General features: G+C 48.1%; 1 protein-coding gene across 7 annotated transcripts in view; it reads right to left on the bottom strand.

Moving 5' to 3' along the window:
- CUX2 (cut like homeobox 2) overlaps positions 1–15,583 on the bottom strand; it is a 316,390-nt gene that overhangs the window by 72,658 nt on the left and 228,149 nt on the right. For all 7 annotated transcript variants that reach the window (XM_017019081.2, NM_015267.4, XM_011538069.3 and 4 more), the window contains one exon: positions 14,058–14,136. In XM_017019081.2, coding sequence (XP_016874570.1) covers positions 14,058–14,136 — 79 coding nt within the window. The remainder of the gene's footprint in view (positions 1–14,057; positions 14,137–15,583) is intronic.

Raw genomic sequence — 15,583 nt, 5'->3', positions numbered from 1 at the left:
GTGAGACCCATCTTGGACTTCTGTTCTGCAGAACGGTGAGATCATAAACGTGTGTTGTTTTAAGCCTCTAAGCTCATGGTATTTGTTACAGCCGTGACAGGTGACTAAGAGTCCCTAATGCAGTCGTCATTTAGCCACCAGTCCACTACGTGTTGACAGCATTTCTTCAGTTGCCAAATATTTCCCGAGTGCCTGCTGTGTGTCAGGGAAAGCTCTGGGCCGTGGAGGTCCAGCAGGAAATGATAGAAAATTCCTGCCCTCCTGGGGCTGACACTCTAGAGGGAATGATGGACAAAGGATGGGTGAGGCAACTGGAGTGAGATGGGCTCAGAAGCAAAATGAAGCAGGGCTGGGGGAGAGGGTGGGCTGGGTGGCGCTAAATGGGCAGCCTGGTGAGGGGAGTGGTGTCTCCGCGGAGCCCTAATGAGGCAGCTAGCAGGGGGGTCGCGGGGGAGTATACTAGACACAGGAAATACCAGGAGAAACGGCTTGCATCAGATAAGGAAATGGCAGCTGACCGTCCTACTAACCTCCCCTGGGGTTACCGTCCCAGAAATACAACTTTGCTCCATCTTCATAACGACCAACCCATTTCACAGATGGGGATGTGGGGCTGGCCCAGGGGACGCCCAGTGCCAATCTCCTTTCCCCTCCCTGCGCAGGCTGGGAGGGCGGGGTGCTATGGCCGAGGGTGGCAGCTGGGTTCAGAGTGGGCTGCGGCCCTCCATATGTGAGTTTCTGGGCTTCATCCCTCAAACTCCAGCAACCATTCATCCTGGGGCAGATGGGGCCCCCACATCCACAAGGTTGGGTAGGGCAGGGGGCAGATGAGACCCCCACCTGATATCCTGAGCCAAGAGCTCAGAGGAACTGGAATTTCTTGACCGCACCTCCAACAAGTGCCAGCACTTTGCATATCTCTATATCTCACTTAAAATATGGAAACAACTGGCCGGGTGCGGTGGCTCACGCCTGTAATCCCAGCACTTTGGGAGGCCAAGGCGGGCAGATCACGAGGTCTAGGAGTTCGAGACTAGCCTAGCCAATATGGTGACACCCCGTCTCTACTAAAAATACAAAAATTAGCCGGGCATGGTGGCTCGCGCCTGTAGTCCCAGCTACTCGGGAGGCTGAGGCAGAAGAATCGCCTGAACCCAGGAGGTTGCAGTGAGCCGAGATGGTGCCACTGCACTCCAGCCTGGGCAACAGAGTGAGGCTCCGTCTCAAAACAAAACAAAACAAAACAAAACAAACAAACAAACAAACAAAAAGGAAACAACTACGTGAGCTATCACTATCACCCCCCTTTTCCAGATGAGAACACTGAGGCCTAGCCGAGGGAACCCACTTGCTCAAGGTCACTAGGCAAGAAAAAGTCAGAGGTGGATTTGAACCCAGGCCTTTCCACCAAGCCAATGCGACCCAAATGCCAGACTCTGGTGTATTCCCTTTATAACTTCTGCTGTGTCCATATGCCTCCGAAAGATGATTAACTTGACATCTGCCCTATGTGACTCACTTTTTATTTATTTTTATTTTGAGACAGCATTTTCACACTGTCATCCAGGCTGGAGTACAGTGGTGCAATCCTGGCAGCTCACTGCAGCCTCGACCCCTTGGGCTCATGTGATCCTCCCACCTCAGCCTCCCCAAGTAGCTAGGACTACAGGCACGCGTCACCATGCCCAGCTATTTTTAAAATTTTTTGTAGAGACAGAGTCTTGCTGTGTTGCCCAGGCTGGTCTCAAACTCCTGGACTCAAGCAATCCTCCCGCCTCAGCCTTCCAAAGTGCTTTGATTACAGGCATGAGCTAGTGTGCCCGGGCTGACTCACTTTTTAAAAATATATATATTTTAAAGTAATGTTTTATCTCACTTTCATAAATAGAAAATCGGGATCTTGTATCATAAGTAGAAGGTGCTTCAACCATAAAAATAAAGGCAAGGAGAAAAACAAAACAAAACAGAAAATGGATGTTACTGAATCTGAATTTTCGTTAGACCCTGTGGCCTGCCCAAGACCTTGAGCCTGGGCCGCCTCTCCTGAGGTTCAAAGGGGAGAGCTGGTGGCGTGGAGGTGTTGAAGATGCTCCAGTACCTGGCTGAGGCTTTACTCAGAGGGGAGCAGAAAGGTGGCACCCGCACATCCTGCAATGTGTTCAAAGTTTCAGTCTTGGGTCCGGGTACACCCAGGCTGTCTCCAGTATCATGTGGACTCCGCACTTGGGGAAATACTAGGTGCTGCCAAGCCCCCGACCTCTAAAATCATGCCCCCACTCCAGCATCTGGCAAGCCTGGTATCCTAGTGTCAGGAGAAGTGACAGGGCATCCGTGCAGCTCCTTGCCTGGAGCCAGCGATGCAGGTTTCTGTTGGGCTCAGCACTTCTCCCGGAAGCCTTCCAGCCGACACATGCGGCTGCCCAGAGCTGCCAGCCCCACGCAGGGGTGTGAGCGGGACTTCATTTCCCTACTCACTCCCACAATACACAGATGGTCAATAGACAGACCAGGGCAGTGGCCACGATGATCAAACAGCCTCAGATCCAACCTGGATGTACAGACCCCAAATCTAAAGTGTTTAAATACAACAGACCCTTCTGATGAGCTGATGAGTGGCAGACTTGGATCCACTATGAGCCATCAGAGATGGCAGGTCCTGATGGGCGTGCAGGGATGGGGGACACCGTGGGGAAGTGTACCCGCCTTTGTCCGACACACATCAACCTGCTCTGGGGCACAAACTACTTAGTAAAATGGCTAATTCATTTGGTTACATGGGATCCAAACCCATAGAGAACACAGTCAAAGGACTGATAATATCTGAAGACCACACCAGGCTTTCTAAAGGCACTGTCAGGGAGGTGGGTACAACTTCGCCTATTCCATCTTTCACCACTAGCTGATGCTATTGGTGGTTTTTTTTTGTTTTTTTGTTTTTTTTTTTTGAATCATGGAGGGGGTTGGGGAATCTAGAGCTGTCTCTATCCTCCCACTATGTCCATCTGAAGGAAAGTGGCATTTGGAGCTTTTTTAGGAAACACAGAGCCGGAAAGGCTGTCCGAGAGGCTGTTTAGAAACACATTTATGCAGAAGTATGCGTGCACCCCTCCAAAATATCTTCGAGACAGAAGCCTTCTCCCATCTGGGCCCAGGCTCCGGGCGCCTGCGGGGGTGGGAGGCTCAGGCTATTGATGGTGGCAGCGAGACTAACTTTGATCCTTTAATCTAAACTTTTCAATAGCAGATGGGGTGCCAAGCCTTTATATGCAGCTGTGAGCCATGTGTCTACCCACTCCTTTCTTGGGGCAGTTGGCAGTGGGGCTGGCGGGGGGTTCCTCCTGGCTTGGACAGGGACAGAGGGCTGGGAATGAGGGTCTTCTTTCTTGGCACTGGGTGCTGATGGTAATAATAATACCACCACCACCAGCACCAACAGCAGCAGCCACTGTTTACTGAGCATTTACTATGTGCCAGACACCCAGCTAAGGACTTTACAGTCCTCACCTTACTCAGCCCTCCCAGTGGCACTGGGAGGTAAGTCTGCTTTCCAAAGGAGGAAACAGCTGCTCAGAGAGGTTGGCTGAGCCAGTTACTCAAGGCCACCCAGCCAGGGAATAGCACAGCCAGGACTCAAACCCACATGCCTTACAATAAAAATAAAGTTCTTCACCAGGCGCGGTAGCTCATGCCTGTAATCTCAGCACTTTGGGAGGCCGAGGTGGGTAGATCATCTGAGGTCAGCAGTTCAAGGCCAGCCTGGCCTATGGTGAAATCCCGTCTCTACTAAAAATATAAAAAACAAAAAACACCCAACAAAAAAACCCCCAAAAACAACAACAAAAAATCAAGTTCTTATATACTGAGCTGTACAGAAAGTTCCAGGAGGGCAGGGGTGGTGTCTGTTTTGCTCAACATTGTGCCCCTGTTGCTGACAGAGTGCCTGGCAAACAGTAGGCACTCAATATTTACTGAATGAATTGCATGGGGCAATGACTGCTGGGCACCATGTTTAGTGTTCTCTGTTGCTCACTGAACCCATCCAATGGCCCTTATAATGAGGGGAGGTCATTATCCACATTTTACATTGGGGAAACTGAGGCTCGGAGAAGTCAAGTGTGATGTGGGAAGCAAAATGGCAGCACAGGATTGGCCTGGCTCTGCAGGGAGGTTCTTCAACCTGGAGTCTTGCTCCTTTCTTCCTCCACTTGCCAGGTTGGGAGCTGTGTGACTGTCTCCCCAGAATGAAAGTTCCACTTGTTCTTCCTCGAGCACACATCTGCATTTCAGCAAAGGCTTCATCCTTCCAGCCTGGAACTTTTCAATCTACTGGCAGCAAAGACCCTTTAACTGTTTTTCACTCTTTTTAGAGCTCAAATCTCCAGTGGTTTTGTCCAAGCTCCTTGGATTTTTAAATTCCTCTTGCAACTGGGGTAGTGGGTAGGAGCTGGGTCGGGGCGGGTCTAGATTCAGGCTCCGTCACTTCTCTGCTGTGTGACCTTGGGCAAGTGGCTTGAATTATCTGAGCCTGTACTTCTTCAGCTTCCCAGTGAGGAAGGATGATGGAACCTACCTCCCAGGGTATGGGTGTGTGTGGAATCAGTGAATTTGTATCTGTAAGGGCCGAACACACTGCCTGACACACAGAAAGTACCCCAGAAATGACCTCCACATGGTGGCACTTCAACCTTTAAAACCAGGTCCAAAGGCCTCCCTCTCTGAGGCCTCTGCCAGCCATCCTTCCTTGAAGCCTGCTTTCTGTTGTGTATTCTGGTTGTCTGTCTTTGGGTCATGTTGTCCTTGCTGAACCCGAGAGTCTCCAAGGGCAGGCCTGGACTTGAGCTTGAGTTCCCACAGGGCTAGGCACATAGCAAGCACTCAGAGCATAAGCTAATGAGACGCCACGGCTCGAATGCCTGTCCTCCCTTCTGAAAGGGACTGGCCTTTACTGAACACCTCCCAGGCAGCAGCACCCGGCTGGATGCTTTCATTCAGTCCGCTCTCCAACCCTGAGCTGCTGGGAGGAGCAAAGTTTAGCCAGGGGGTCATGGGGAAAGGGTGCTCCTGGCTGAGGAAACGGCATGGGCAGAGGTGTGGCAGGAAATGGTGCGACACTGCCTTCTAAAGTTAGCTGTCACCTGGGTGTGGTGGCTCACATCTGTAATCCCAACACTTTGGGAGGCCGAGGCAGGTGGATCACCTGAAGTCGGGAGTTCGATACCAGCCTGACCAACATGGTGAAACCTTGTCTCTACTAAAAATACAAAATTAGCTGGGTGTAGTGGCATGTGCCTGTAATCCCAGCTACTCGGGAGGCTGAGGCATGAGAATTGCTTGAACCCTAGAGGCGGAGGTTGCAGTGAGCTGAGATTGCACCACTGCACTCCAGCCTGTGTGACAGAGTGAGACTACATCTCAGAAAATAATAATAATAATAATAAAGTTAACTGTCATCTTCAGGAAAATTGACATTGTTAAGTTTTTCCTTTTTTAACGGGTGAAATACTGTTTTATGCTAACCTTCAGTGTTCCACTGACCATTATGGGACTAACTGAGCAGAAGCGTGGGCATGGAGGAGGGAGAGGAGGAGGGAAGGAGGGAAGGTTAGCACAGACAACACTTTCTAATCGTAGAAAATCTCTATTTCCTGTAGCTGTGCAGGTGGCTTATCCACTAGATGGCACTGAAACGAGTTATTTGGGACAAAAACAAAGCTAAATGCTTCACCTCCCCTGCTACTTCTATCAATATCTATTATATTTCAGCTGGTTCAAATGTAAATGTTTAAAAATTAAGATCACAAAAGTACTAAAAAAACTCCTTATACCCTTGAGGCGAGAAAGATTTTTAAAAACAGGACCGGATATTCAGAAGCTACAAAGCAAAGATTTGCTAAGATTTCTTGCTTTCTGCAAATATTTTTTTGAATACCTGCTACATACAATAGACAAGAGACATTACACACTAAGTTGAGAAACAAAAGGCAAACCAGGGGAGAATATATGAAACATGTATACCTGGACAAAGGTTAATATCCCCCATATACAAAGAGTGTCTACAAATCAATAAGAAAATAATCTACTCTCTGGTAGAAAAAATCCACTCTCTGGGCTAAGGAGACATAAACCAGAGATTTCTAAAAGTATAAATATGAATGCTTTATAACATATGAAAAGATATTTAGTGAACTAGTAAGTAAAGGACTGCAATATAAAATCAGCAAGGAGAAAAACATTCTTATTCTGGTCACTGATCCTGGGGTTTGTGGTCAATACAAGGCTACAATGTACTTTTCCTTCCCAAATTTTCTTCTTGGTACAGCACAGTACCAATAGGGGATGTGTTCCCAAGCACCTTAACTGTCCAGAGTTGGAGAGGGGTTAGGTAAATTACAATACAGCTATACAAGGGATTGTTAGGCTTGTACAATGAATCAAAGTTACTTGGGATCTGTAATCACACAGGGAAATATGAGTGCTTCATGTCAGATAAAGGAAACAATTCAAAACGGTACATGTAGAATCAGCAACTGTTTTGAAAAAGTACACAGGGAAAAATCACGGAAAAGAAAAACAACAAAATGCTTTTCTAGCTGGTCGTTTTCCCTCTTTCTGTTTCTCTCTATTTTCTGAAGTTGACAGCATGCATATGCTACTTTTATAATCGAGGAGACAAATTTAAAAATTTTAAACGTTGTAGAGCATTTTCCTATTCTATAGGCTCAGGAACCCTGTTGCCTGCACCACTGCTTATCCAATGTCCCTGACAACAGACCGAACCTCGTAGAATCAATAGCAGACGCTTGTCACTCCTATAACTGTTATACCCTGATGTCAATGGGCTGCTGATTACTCAGCCCTGCGGAATGCTTTCATGTACAGCGTAGCGAATCCTCACGTCCACCCCTGAGTAGGTTCTATTACTATCCCTCTTCTAAAGACACAGAAACCAGAGCTCAGAGAGGTTAAAGCCCCTGGCCAAGGTCACACAGCACAAAACACCAAACTGAGAGTTCCACCCAGGTGTGTCAACCTCTATAGCCTGGGCACTGAGCACCTTCCTGATCAGCCTCCCCCCCAAGAGAAGGAGCAAGGTGAGAAATGTCTGCCAGGAATTGCAAATCTGCATCAGATTTGTAAAAACCAAAGCACAGTAGAAAACAACATTTTGGGGCACTCACCTGTCTCTTATCTCCTCAGCAATGTTCATCTGCCTGCCCTCTCATTTCCTCGTTCCTTGTTTTTTTTTTTTTTTTCCTTTTAACTAATCACTCAGTTAACAAGTTAGCCTTCTGAAGCTTGGGTCCGTACCTAGTGACTCTACGAGTGCGATAAAGGAATCAGCCATCACCAATACAGAAGTCAGAGAGGTTTAAATCACATCATCACCCACAACAATGACATTAATTATGCTTTTAACACGTTTTACTGCTTTTTTTTTCTCACTTCACGCCACATCTGTGTGAACAATATCCAAAAGATTTACGGTTTTCTTTCGTAATTACAGACATCCAGGCTGCACACTTATCAAAATACTTGCTGAGCCATCAGGCTCTGTCGTATTCTCTGCCAAAGATCTGTGTTGGCAGCAGTCACTCAAAACAAAAATGTTGAATCAGGACTTGTGTGGCTTCGGGTGGCGGGGAGGAGTATTTCGACAAATAATTTGCCTGTCAAGAAATATAAAAACAGGAGTGTGCGCGTCCCAGCGAATTTTCCAGGAGTGTTATTTTTATGGAGGGGGTTGGAGCTGGGGGGCCGGCAGTGAGCGGGGAAGCTGGAAGCGCCCAACACACATTTGACATTTGGTTCTTGTGTCTGAGGATAAAATTTAATGAGAACAAAAATATGTCTTCCTAATTCCCCTAAGAAATCATTAAAACATTTTGTTATGCTTAAATGTCTCGAAAATGAATTAGAGGCCCTAAAGGGGCTGTTCGTATGGTACGTCTCCATCAGTTAAGGCTCCTTGTTCTCTAAGTCGGTGACAGCTGGGGACAGCTCTCCCGCCCCTGCATTTCTGGGGAGGAGAGTTGGGAAATCAGACTCCTGGAGTCAGCACTGGGCTTGGAATGACCTTCCTGCTCCCGGGCTTTGGGGAAAGAGGAGAGAGGGTATATGGACCTTCCAGAAGGTTCCACAGCAATCTTGGGACCTTGAGTGGCCCCTGGCCTGTGACTGTTTTAACAGTCTTCTCTCCAGAAAGATGAGGGTCCCATAAGAACACCCCCCAAAATGAGGGCTCGTTTCCAAGTGGGGGGCCGTAAGACCCTTCTGTTTCCCTTTGTCTTCCTGCCTGTCTGTACCCCCAAGCACTAGACATGCTGGTGTCCCCCTGTGACTGTGATGACAGGCTATGTGACCGATGATCTGGTCACTTCTGCCACTCAAAGGTAAGCTTCTGAGGGCTGGGCCCATGTCTGTGTTTGTAGGGTCACAGCTGTGTTCCCAGTGTCCAGCAAGTGCCGGGCACACAGTAGGCACTCAATAAATGCTATCTGAGTAAACAACACAAGATGTGCATGGAAGGGGGGTCTCACTGATGAAGTATCTTTTTGCTCCAATAACCTTTCCTCCCGTTTTTGCTGCTGAGTCTTATTTCTAATATTCAACAATTATTAGGTGCCTACTGTGTACCAGGTTCTGGGTATACGAATTTAGTATGATTTAGTCCGAGGCCTGGTGCATTTCACATCTCCTAGGAAAGCTGGACACATATATGATAAGGAGAATAGTTAACACTTAGTAAGCACCTGCTGTATACTGTGAACCTTGATGCCTCCAAATAACAGCACGAGGCAGGTTCTAATATTATTCTCAATTTATGGAAGAGGAGACTGCAGCTCAGGAAGGTGAATTAATTCCTCTGCAGTCACGCAGTAAGTGACACAAACAGGATTTGAATCTGGGTCTTTGAGCCTGAAAGCACACGCATATCTCAGCGCTGCCCCCTCGTGTTACAACTGAGGTACTACGGGGTGCCGTGGGAGAGCGCTGCCTGGGGACCCCTGGGAGGCATCTCTGGGGTCTGTACAGGGTCATCCTCCAGTGTCATTTGTCGCTGACACAGTGGGACCCAAAGGATCGAAAAGGGTGGGAAATAAGAGGGTGTCTTTTTCTAGATATCACTGATGAGAGCGGAGACATTATAAGCAAAAAGGCGGCAAGGAATGGTGCCACTGGGCCTCTTGGCCATGAGTACGTTATGGCCGGCAGTGAGGGTGATAATGACCCCAGCTGCAGACACATGGGCTGTCTCGGCCTCGTGCCATAGCGCCATGTCCTCGCAGGGACCACAGCCTGCAGCTGTGCCATCAGCTCTTGCCATTCCTTCCACTCTCATCACTGGGAAAACTCACGTGGCTGGACTGTTCCTGTGAGCGCGGGATGGGGTGGAGCATGGGACCAGGCAGCAGGCACATGTGTACTGGCTGAACGTCCGCCCCAAAAGGATACCTCTGTGTCCTAACGCCTGGAACCTGTGAATGTGACTTTATTCAAAGTGTCTTTGAGCTGGGCATGGTGGCTGCACCTGCAGACCCAGCCATTCGGGAGGCTGAGGTGGGAGGATCACTTGAGCTCAGGAGGTCAAGGCTGCAGTGAGCCAAGATTGCACCACTGTACTTCAACCTGGGAAACAGAGCAAGACCCTGTCTCTTAAAAAAAACAAAAAACAAAAAACAAAAAACAAACAAAAACCAAAGTGTCTTTGCCGATATAATTAAGGATCTTGAGATGAAATCAACCTGGATTATCCAGGTGGCCCCAAAATCTAATGACAAGTGTCATTATAAGAGAAAGGAGGTTGGGTACAGTGGCTTACACCTGTAATCCCAGCTATTCAGGAGGCAGAGGTGGGAGGATCACTTGAGGCCAGGAGTTTGAGACCAGTCTGGGTAACATAGTGAGACTTTGGGACTACAAAAAATAAATTTAAAAAATTAGCTGGGCTTGGGAGGCTGAGGCAGGAAGATTGTTTGAGCCCAGAAGTCTGAGGTTGCAGTGAGCTATGATCACACTACTGCACTCCAGCCTGGGCTTTGTTAAGCAAGACCTCATATATATTTTTTAAAAGGAGAGAGAGAGAGAAAGGAGAGGGAGATTGAGACAAAGATACAGAGGAGACATTGGAGTGATATAGCCATAAGCCAAGGGACACCTGGAGCCACCAGAAGCTGGAAGAAGCCAGGAAGGATCCTCCCCTGAGCCTTCAGAGAAAGTATAGCCCTGTTGACACCTTGATCTTGGGCCTGTGGCCTTCAGAACAGGGACGGAATGAATCTCTGTTGTTTTAAGGCATCCATGGTAATTTATTACAACAGCCGTAGGAAACTAACTCAGCCTTCCACGTGCAGCCAGCTTGTCACACGGAGCAGAGTCTGGAAATATTTGTTATACATGATGAGACCCGAGTCACATCTCTCCCTGCCTGTGAGACCTTGGGCATCGGGCTCAACCTCTCTGTGCCACAGAGAAGCGAGTTGCTTGGACCTGCTCCCATGGGGCGTGTGAAACGCAGAGCACAGAACAAAGGCAACTTCTATATCAGGCCTGTGCGCTCAAACTTTCCCATGCTCCAAGATCACAGGGGAGCTTGATAAAATGCAGAAGCTGATTCTGTGGGCCGGGGATGGGGCCTGAGACTCTGTAGTCCTTCCTTCCTCCCTCCCTCCCTTTCTTTCTTTTTTTTTTTTTTTTTTTTTTGACAGGGTCTTGCTCTGTCACCCAGGCTGGAATGCAGTGGCACAATCTTAGCTCACTGCAACCTCCACCTCCTGGGTTCAAGCAATTCTCCCACCACAGCTTCCCAAGTAGCTAGGACCACAGGCGCCCACGACCATGCCCAGATAATTTTTGTATTTTTTTTGTAGAGACAGGGTTTCTCCATGTTGCCTAGGCTGGTCTCAAACTCCTGGCTTCAAGTGATCCTCCCACCTGGGCCTCCCAAAGTGCTGGCATTACAGGCATGAGCCGCCACCTGCGGCTGAGCCTCTGCATTTCTAACCAGCTTGCAGGTGAGGCTGATGTTTCTGGTCCACAGACCACACTTTGAGTAGCAACAGGCCAGAAGACCTCCCTCTTCATCCAGGCCACACGCTGTCGGAGGGCAAGCTTTGTCAGCATTGCTGGATTAGTGTCCCAGCGCTGCAGTAGAAAAGCACCACCAACTGGGGGCTGAAAACAACAGACACTTATTGTCTTGTAGTTCTGGGGACCATAAGTCCAACATCAAGACACTGGCAGGGCTGTACTCCTTCTGAAGACTCTAGGGAAGGATCCTTCTTGTCTCTCCCAGTTTCTCATGGTTGCTGGCAATCTTTGGTGCTCCTTGCCTTGTAGCTACATCATTTCCACCGTGCCTCTGTTTTTACACAGCTTTCCTCAGTGGCTATCTCTGTACCCTCGTCTCTTTTTTTTTTTTTTTTGTTGAGACAGGGTCTTGCTCTGTCACCCAGGCTGGAGTGCAGTGTTGTGATCTCGGCTCATTGCAACCTCCGCCTCCTGGGTTCAAGCGATTCTCCTGCCTCAGCCTCTTGAGTAGCTGGGAATACAGGCTACCACACCTGGCTAATTTTTGTATTTTTAGTAGACATGGGGTTTCCCCATGTTGACCAGGGTTGTCTTGAACTTCTGACCTCAAGTGATCCTCCTGCCTCTGTCTCCCAAAGTGCTGGGATTACAGGCTTTGAGCCACTGTGCCTGGCCCCATACTTCTTACAACACCAGTCATTGGATTTAGGGCTCACCCTAAAGCCAGGATGATCTCATCTTGAGATCCTTAGCTAATTACATCTGCAAAGACTTATTTTCAAATAAGGTCATATTTTGAAGTTCTACGTAGACATAAATTTTGGAGGCCACACTATCCAACCCACTACAGTTGCCCCAGACAGAGGAACAGTGGACTTTCCCACCCCAAATACAAAGATCCCAGAAATGACCTTGACATCTAATCTAAATGACTCTGTGTTCTCTGTGGTTTGGGTTTTGCAGTCGGACAGCTGAGGGTGGGATGTCATTTTCCTCTTCACAGGCCCCCAGCCTCAAACACCTCCCGTAGTGCTGATTCCTGCCACTGTGTGGAAGGATGGGGGAAAGGACTGGGAGAGGTCTGGGTGGGGAGAGTTAGCACAGCAAGGCCTCCTCCGGGCTCTGCCATTGGTAAGCAGATCATTTCAACTCTTTGGGCTCCTGTTTCTGGGTCAGTAAATGAGAAGGTAGCAGGGGATGGGCCATTTAAAACAAGGGAAAGTTTTGGCCGGGTGCGGTGGCTCACATCTGTAATCCTAGCACTTTGGGAGGCTGAGGTGGGCGGATCACTTGAGGCCAGGAGTTTGAGACCAGGCTGGCCAACATAGGGCAACCCTGTCTCTACTAAAAATACAAAAAATTAGCCGGGAATGGTGGTGCATGCCTGTAATCCCAGCTACTCGGGAGGCTGAGGCAGGAGAATTGCTTGAACCCGGGAGGCGGAGGTTGCAGTGAGCTGAGATCGCGCTACTGCACTCCAGCCTGGGCAACAGAGCAAGACCCTGTCTCAAAAATAAAATAAAATAAAATAAAATAAAATAAAATAAAATAAAATAAAAATAAAATAAAATAAAATAGGGGAAGCTTTTATGGATGTCTGGCATATGTATAGATCCTTTGTGTACAACCAAATGTTCTCAAACTGTAACCCAAACCAGGACCGAGAAACCACAGTCCCAGCACCCAGAGGCCCCTCCCAGGAACTCTTGGCCCCCTTCAAGTGTTTGAAACCACTATCTTGATTTCCAATAGTACAGGTTGACTTTTTTTTTCAATTAAGGTGAAATTCATACAACAGAAAATTTATCATTTTAACGTGAACAATTCAATGACATTTAGTACATTCTTGATGTTCTACAACCACTTGTTCACTTAGTTCCAGAATATTTTTATCCCCCAAAAAGAAACTCATACCGATTAAGCAGTCACTCTCCAATCTCCCTCCCCAGCCCCGGGCAACCAACAATCGACTCTTATCTACGGCTTGCCTGTTCTGGATGTTTCATGTAAATGAAATCCTACACTATGTGGCCTTGGTTTCTGGCTTCCTTCACTCAGCACTGTGTTTTCGAGGTTCATCTTCACTGAAGCACATATCACAGCTCCATTCCTTTTTTATTTGAGACAGAGGACAGTCTTGCTCTGTCATCCAGGCTGGAGTGCAGGCATGATCTCAGCTCACTGCAATCTCCACCTTCTGGGTTCAAGCGATTCTCCTGTCTCAGCCTCCCGAGCAGCTGCGATTACAGGTGCCCACCACCACACCTGGCTAATTTTTGTATTTTTAGTAGAGATGGGATTTCTACTAAAACCGCTGGGTTGGCCAGACTGGTCTCGAACTCCTGACCTCAGGTGATCGGCCCACCTCGGCCTCCTAAAGTGCTGAGATTACAGGCGTGATCCCCTGTACCCGGCCCTCCATGCCTTTTCATGGAAAGGGAGTAATACTCCCTTGTAAGTCTAGGCCACATTTTGTTTATGCATCCATCCATTGATGGCCATATGGATTGCTTCCCCCTTTTGACCACTGAGTAACATTAATTGTCTGTTTTTAGATTTTCTGTAGGTGGAATCCTACAGGATGTGCTCTTCTGGGGCTGGCTTTTACTCAACAGCAGATTTTTGGGGTTGGCTGTGCCATTCTGGGGGAGGTACTGGAGGTCTTGCCTCTATTGCCACCTGCAGGCAGAGAGCACTGGGTGCCCTCAGTCTTCTGTGCTAATGGGATGGGGGCTCTAGTGGGTAAGATTTCAGCTCCCCAAGTAGGTCCAGGTGGGATATCTCATCAGGAGTCCCCCTAAAGCAGGCTCCTGGCTGATGTGACAACATGATGAAGGAAGATGGGGGGAGCCCTGGGGGGACATGTCACACCAGACTGGCCACAGCTCCCCCTGCCCTATACAGAGTGCCTGGCCTCACCCAGGAGCCCAGGCATGTCCCCACATCCCACCTCAAAGTCCCTGTGTCACAGTCCTAATGGCTATTTATTGTCGTTAACTATTCAATTACGGAGCCCAAGCATTTCTTACCTGGTGCTTCAATTAATTGCTTGTAAACACTCAGAAAAGCAGCCTCCGCCTCCTGACTTCTCTTACTAAGGGCCACCACCTTTGGAGACAACAAGAGAAAGAGTCACGTGTAACCATGGCATCTGTGTCTGCAAGCAAATTTCATCATTTTTTTTTTCCACAAGAAAACATCTGCAGGTTTTTTGTTTTGTTTTGTTTTGTTTTGTTTTGTTTTTGAGAGAGAGTCTTGCTCTGTCGCCCAGGCTGGAGTGCCATAGAATGATCTCAGCTCACTGTAACCTCCGCCTCCTGGGTTCAAGTAATTCTTCTGCCTCAGCCTCCTGAGTAGCTGGGATTACAGGTGCCTGCTACCACTACAGGTGCCTGCCACCATGCCCAGCTAATTTTTTTGTACTTTTGGTAGAGACGGTTTGACCACGTTGGCCAGGATGGTCTCAAACTCTTGACCTCAGGTTATCTGCCCACCTTGGCCTCCCAAAGTTCTGGGATTACAGGCATGAGCCACCATGGCTGGCCATGTATTTTTTTTCTTGTTTGTTTAAGCGATGGGGTCTTGCTACAGGTTGCCCAGGCTTGTCTCGACCTCCTGCGATTCCCCTGCCTCGGCCTCCCAAAGTGCCGGGATTACAGGCCACCACCGCACCTGGCCTTAGTCATTTTCTACTTGTGCAAACATGGGATAGGGGAGGGGCAAGAAGGAGAAATGAAGGTTAAAAGTGTGGGCTCTGGAGTTAGAAAATCTGGGTTGAAAGCCCAGCTCCACTGTGTGCAGGCTGTGTGACCTTGCACTGCCCCTCTCTGATTCTCAGTTTCTTCATCTGTAAAATGCGGGGTAAATAACAGGACCTACCTCCTGTTGGGATTAAATGGAGCCGCACCTAAGTGCTAAGCACAGGGCCCGGCACACGGTGTGTTGGTGACACCTGTTATTCTTCTTATTAGTAAAGGGTAGACTGGAAGTTCAAATATGATACATGTTTTAGGAGGAAAGTGGGACACGTCTAGAGAATATTTCTTGCCACTAAAAATGAAAGAGAAATTGTTAAAGCTCTCGTAAGATATCAAACAACTTTAACAAATGTTGGAGGGTAACAGAATTACCCTCTTTAAAAGAGGTGGAAATGTATTGGTGATTAAAGTGATTAAAAAAGGTTAGTTTTAGGCTGGGAGTGCTGACTCATGCCTTTAATCCCAGTGCTTTGGGAGGCTGAGGCGGGAGGATTGTTTGAGCTCAGGAGTTCGAAACCAGCCTGAGCAACATAGTGAGACCCTGTTTCTACAAAAGATAAAAAAATTAGCCAGGCAGGGTGGCTCGTGCCTGTTGTCCCAGCTACTCAGGAGGCTGAGGTAAGAGGATTGTTTGAGGCCAGGATTTCGAGGCTGCCATGAGCTATGATTGCACCACTGCACTTCAGCCTGGGCAATAGAGTGAGACCCTATCTTAAAAAAAAAAAAAAAAAGATCCATTACAAAATCTCTGTAATTTCTCTCATTGTTAGTCTGAGAAAGTCCCTGGTCTCTCACCT

Source organism: Homo sapiens, chromosome 12 (assembly GCF_000001405.40).
Source record: "Homo sapiens chromosome 12, GRCh38.p14 Primary Assembly".
In the NCBI taxonomy this organism is placed as follows: Eukaryota; Metazoa; Chordata; class Mammalia; order Primates; family Hominidae; genus Homo; species Homo sapiens.
This window is presented reverse-complemented; position numbering and strand designations above follow the sequence as displayed.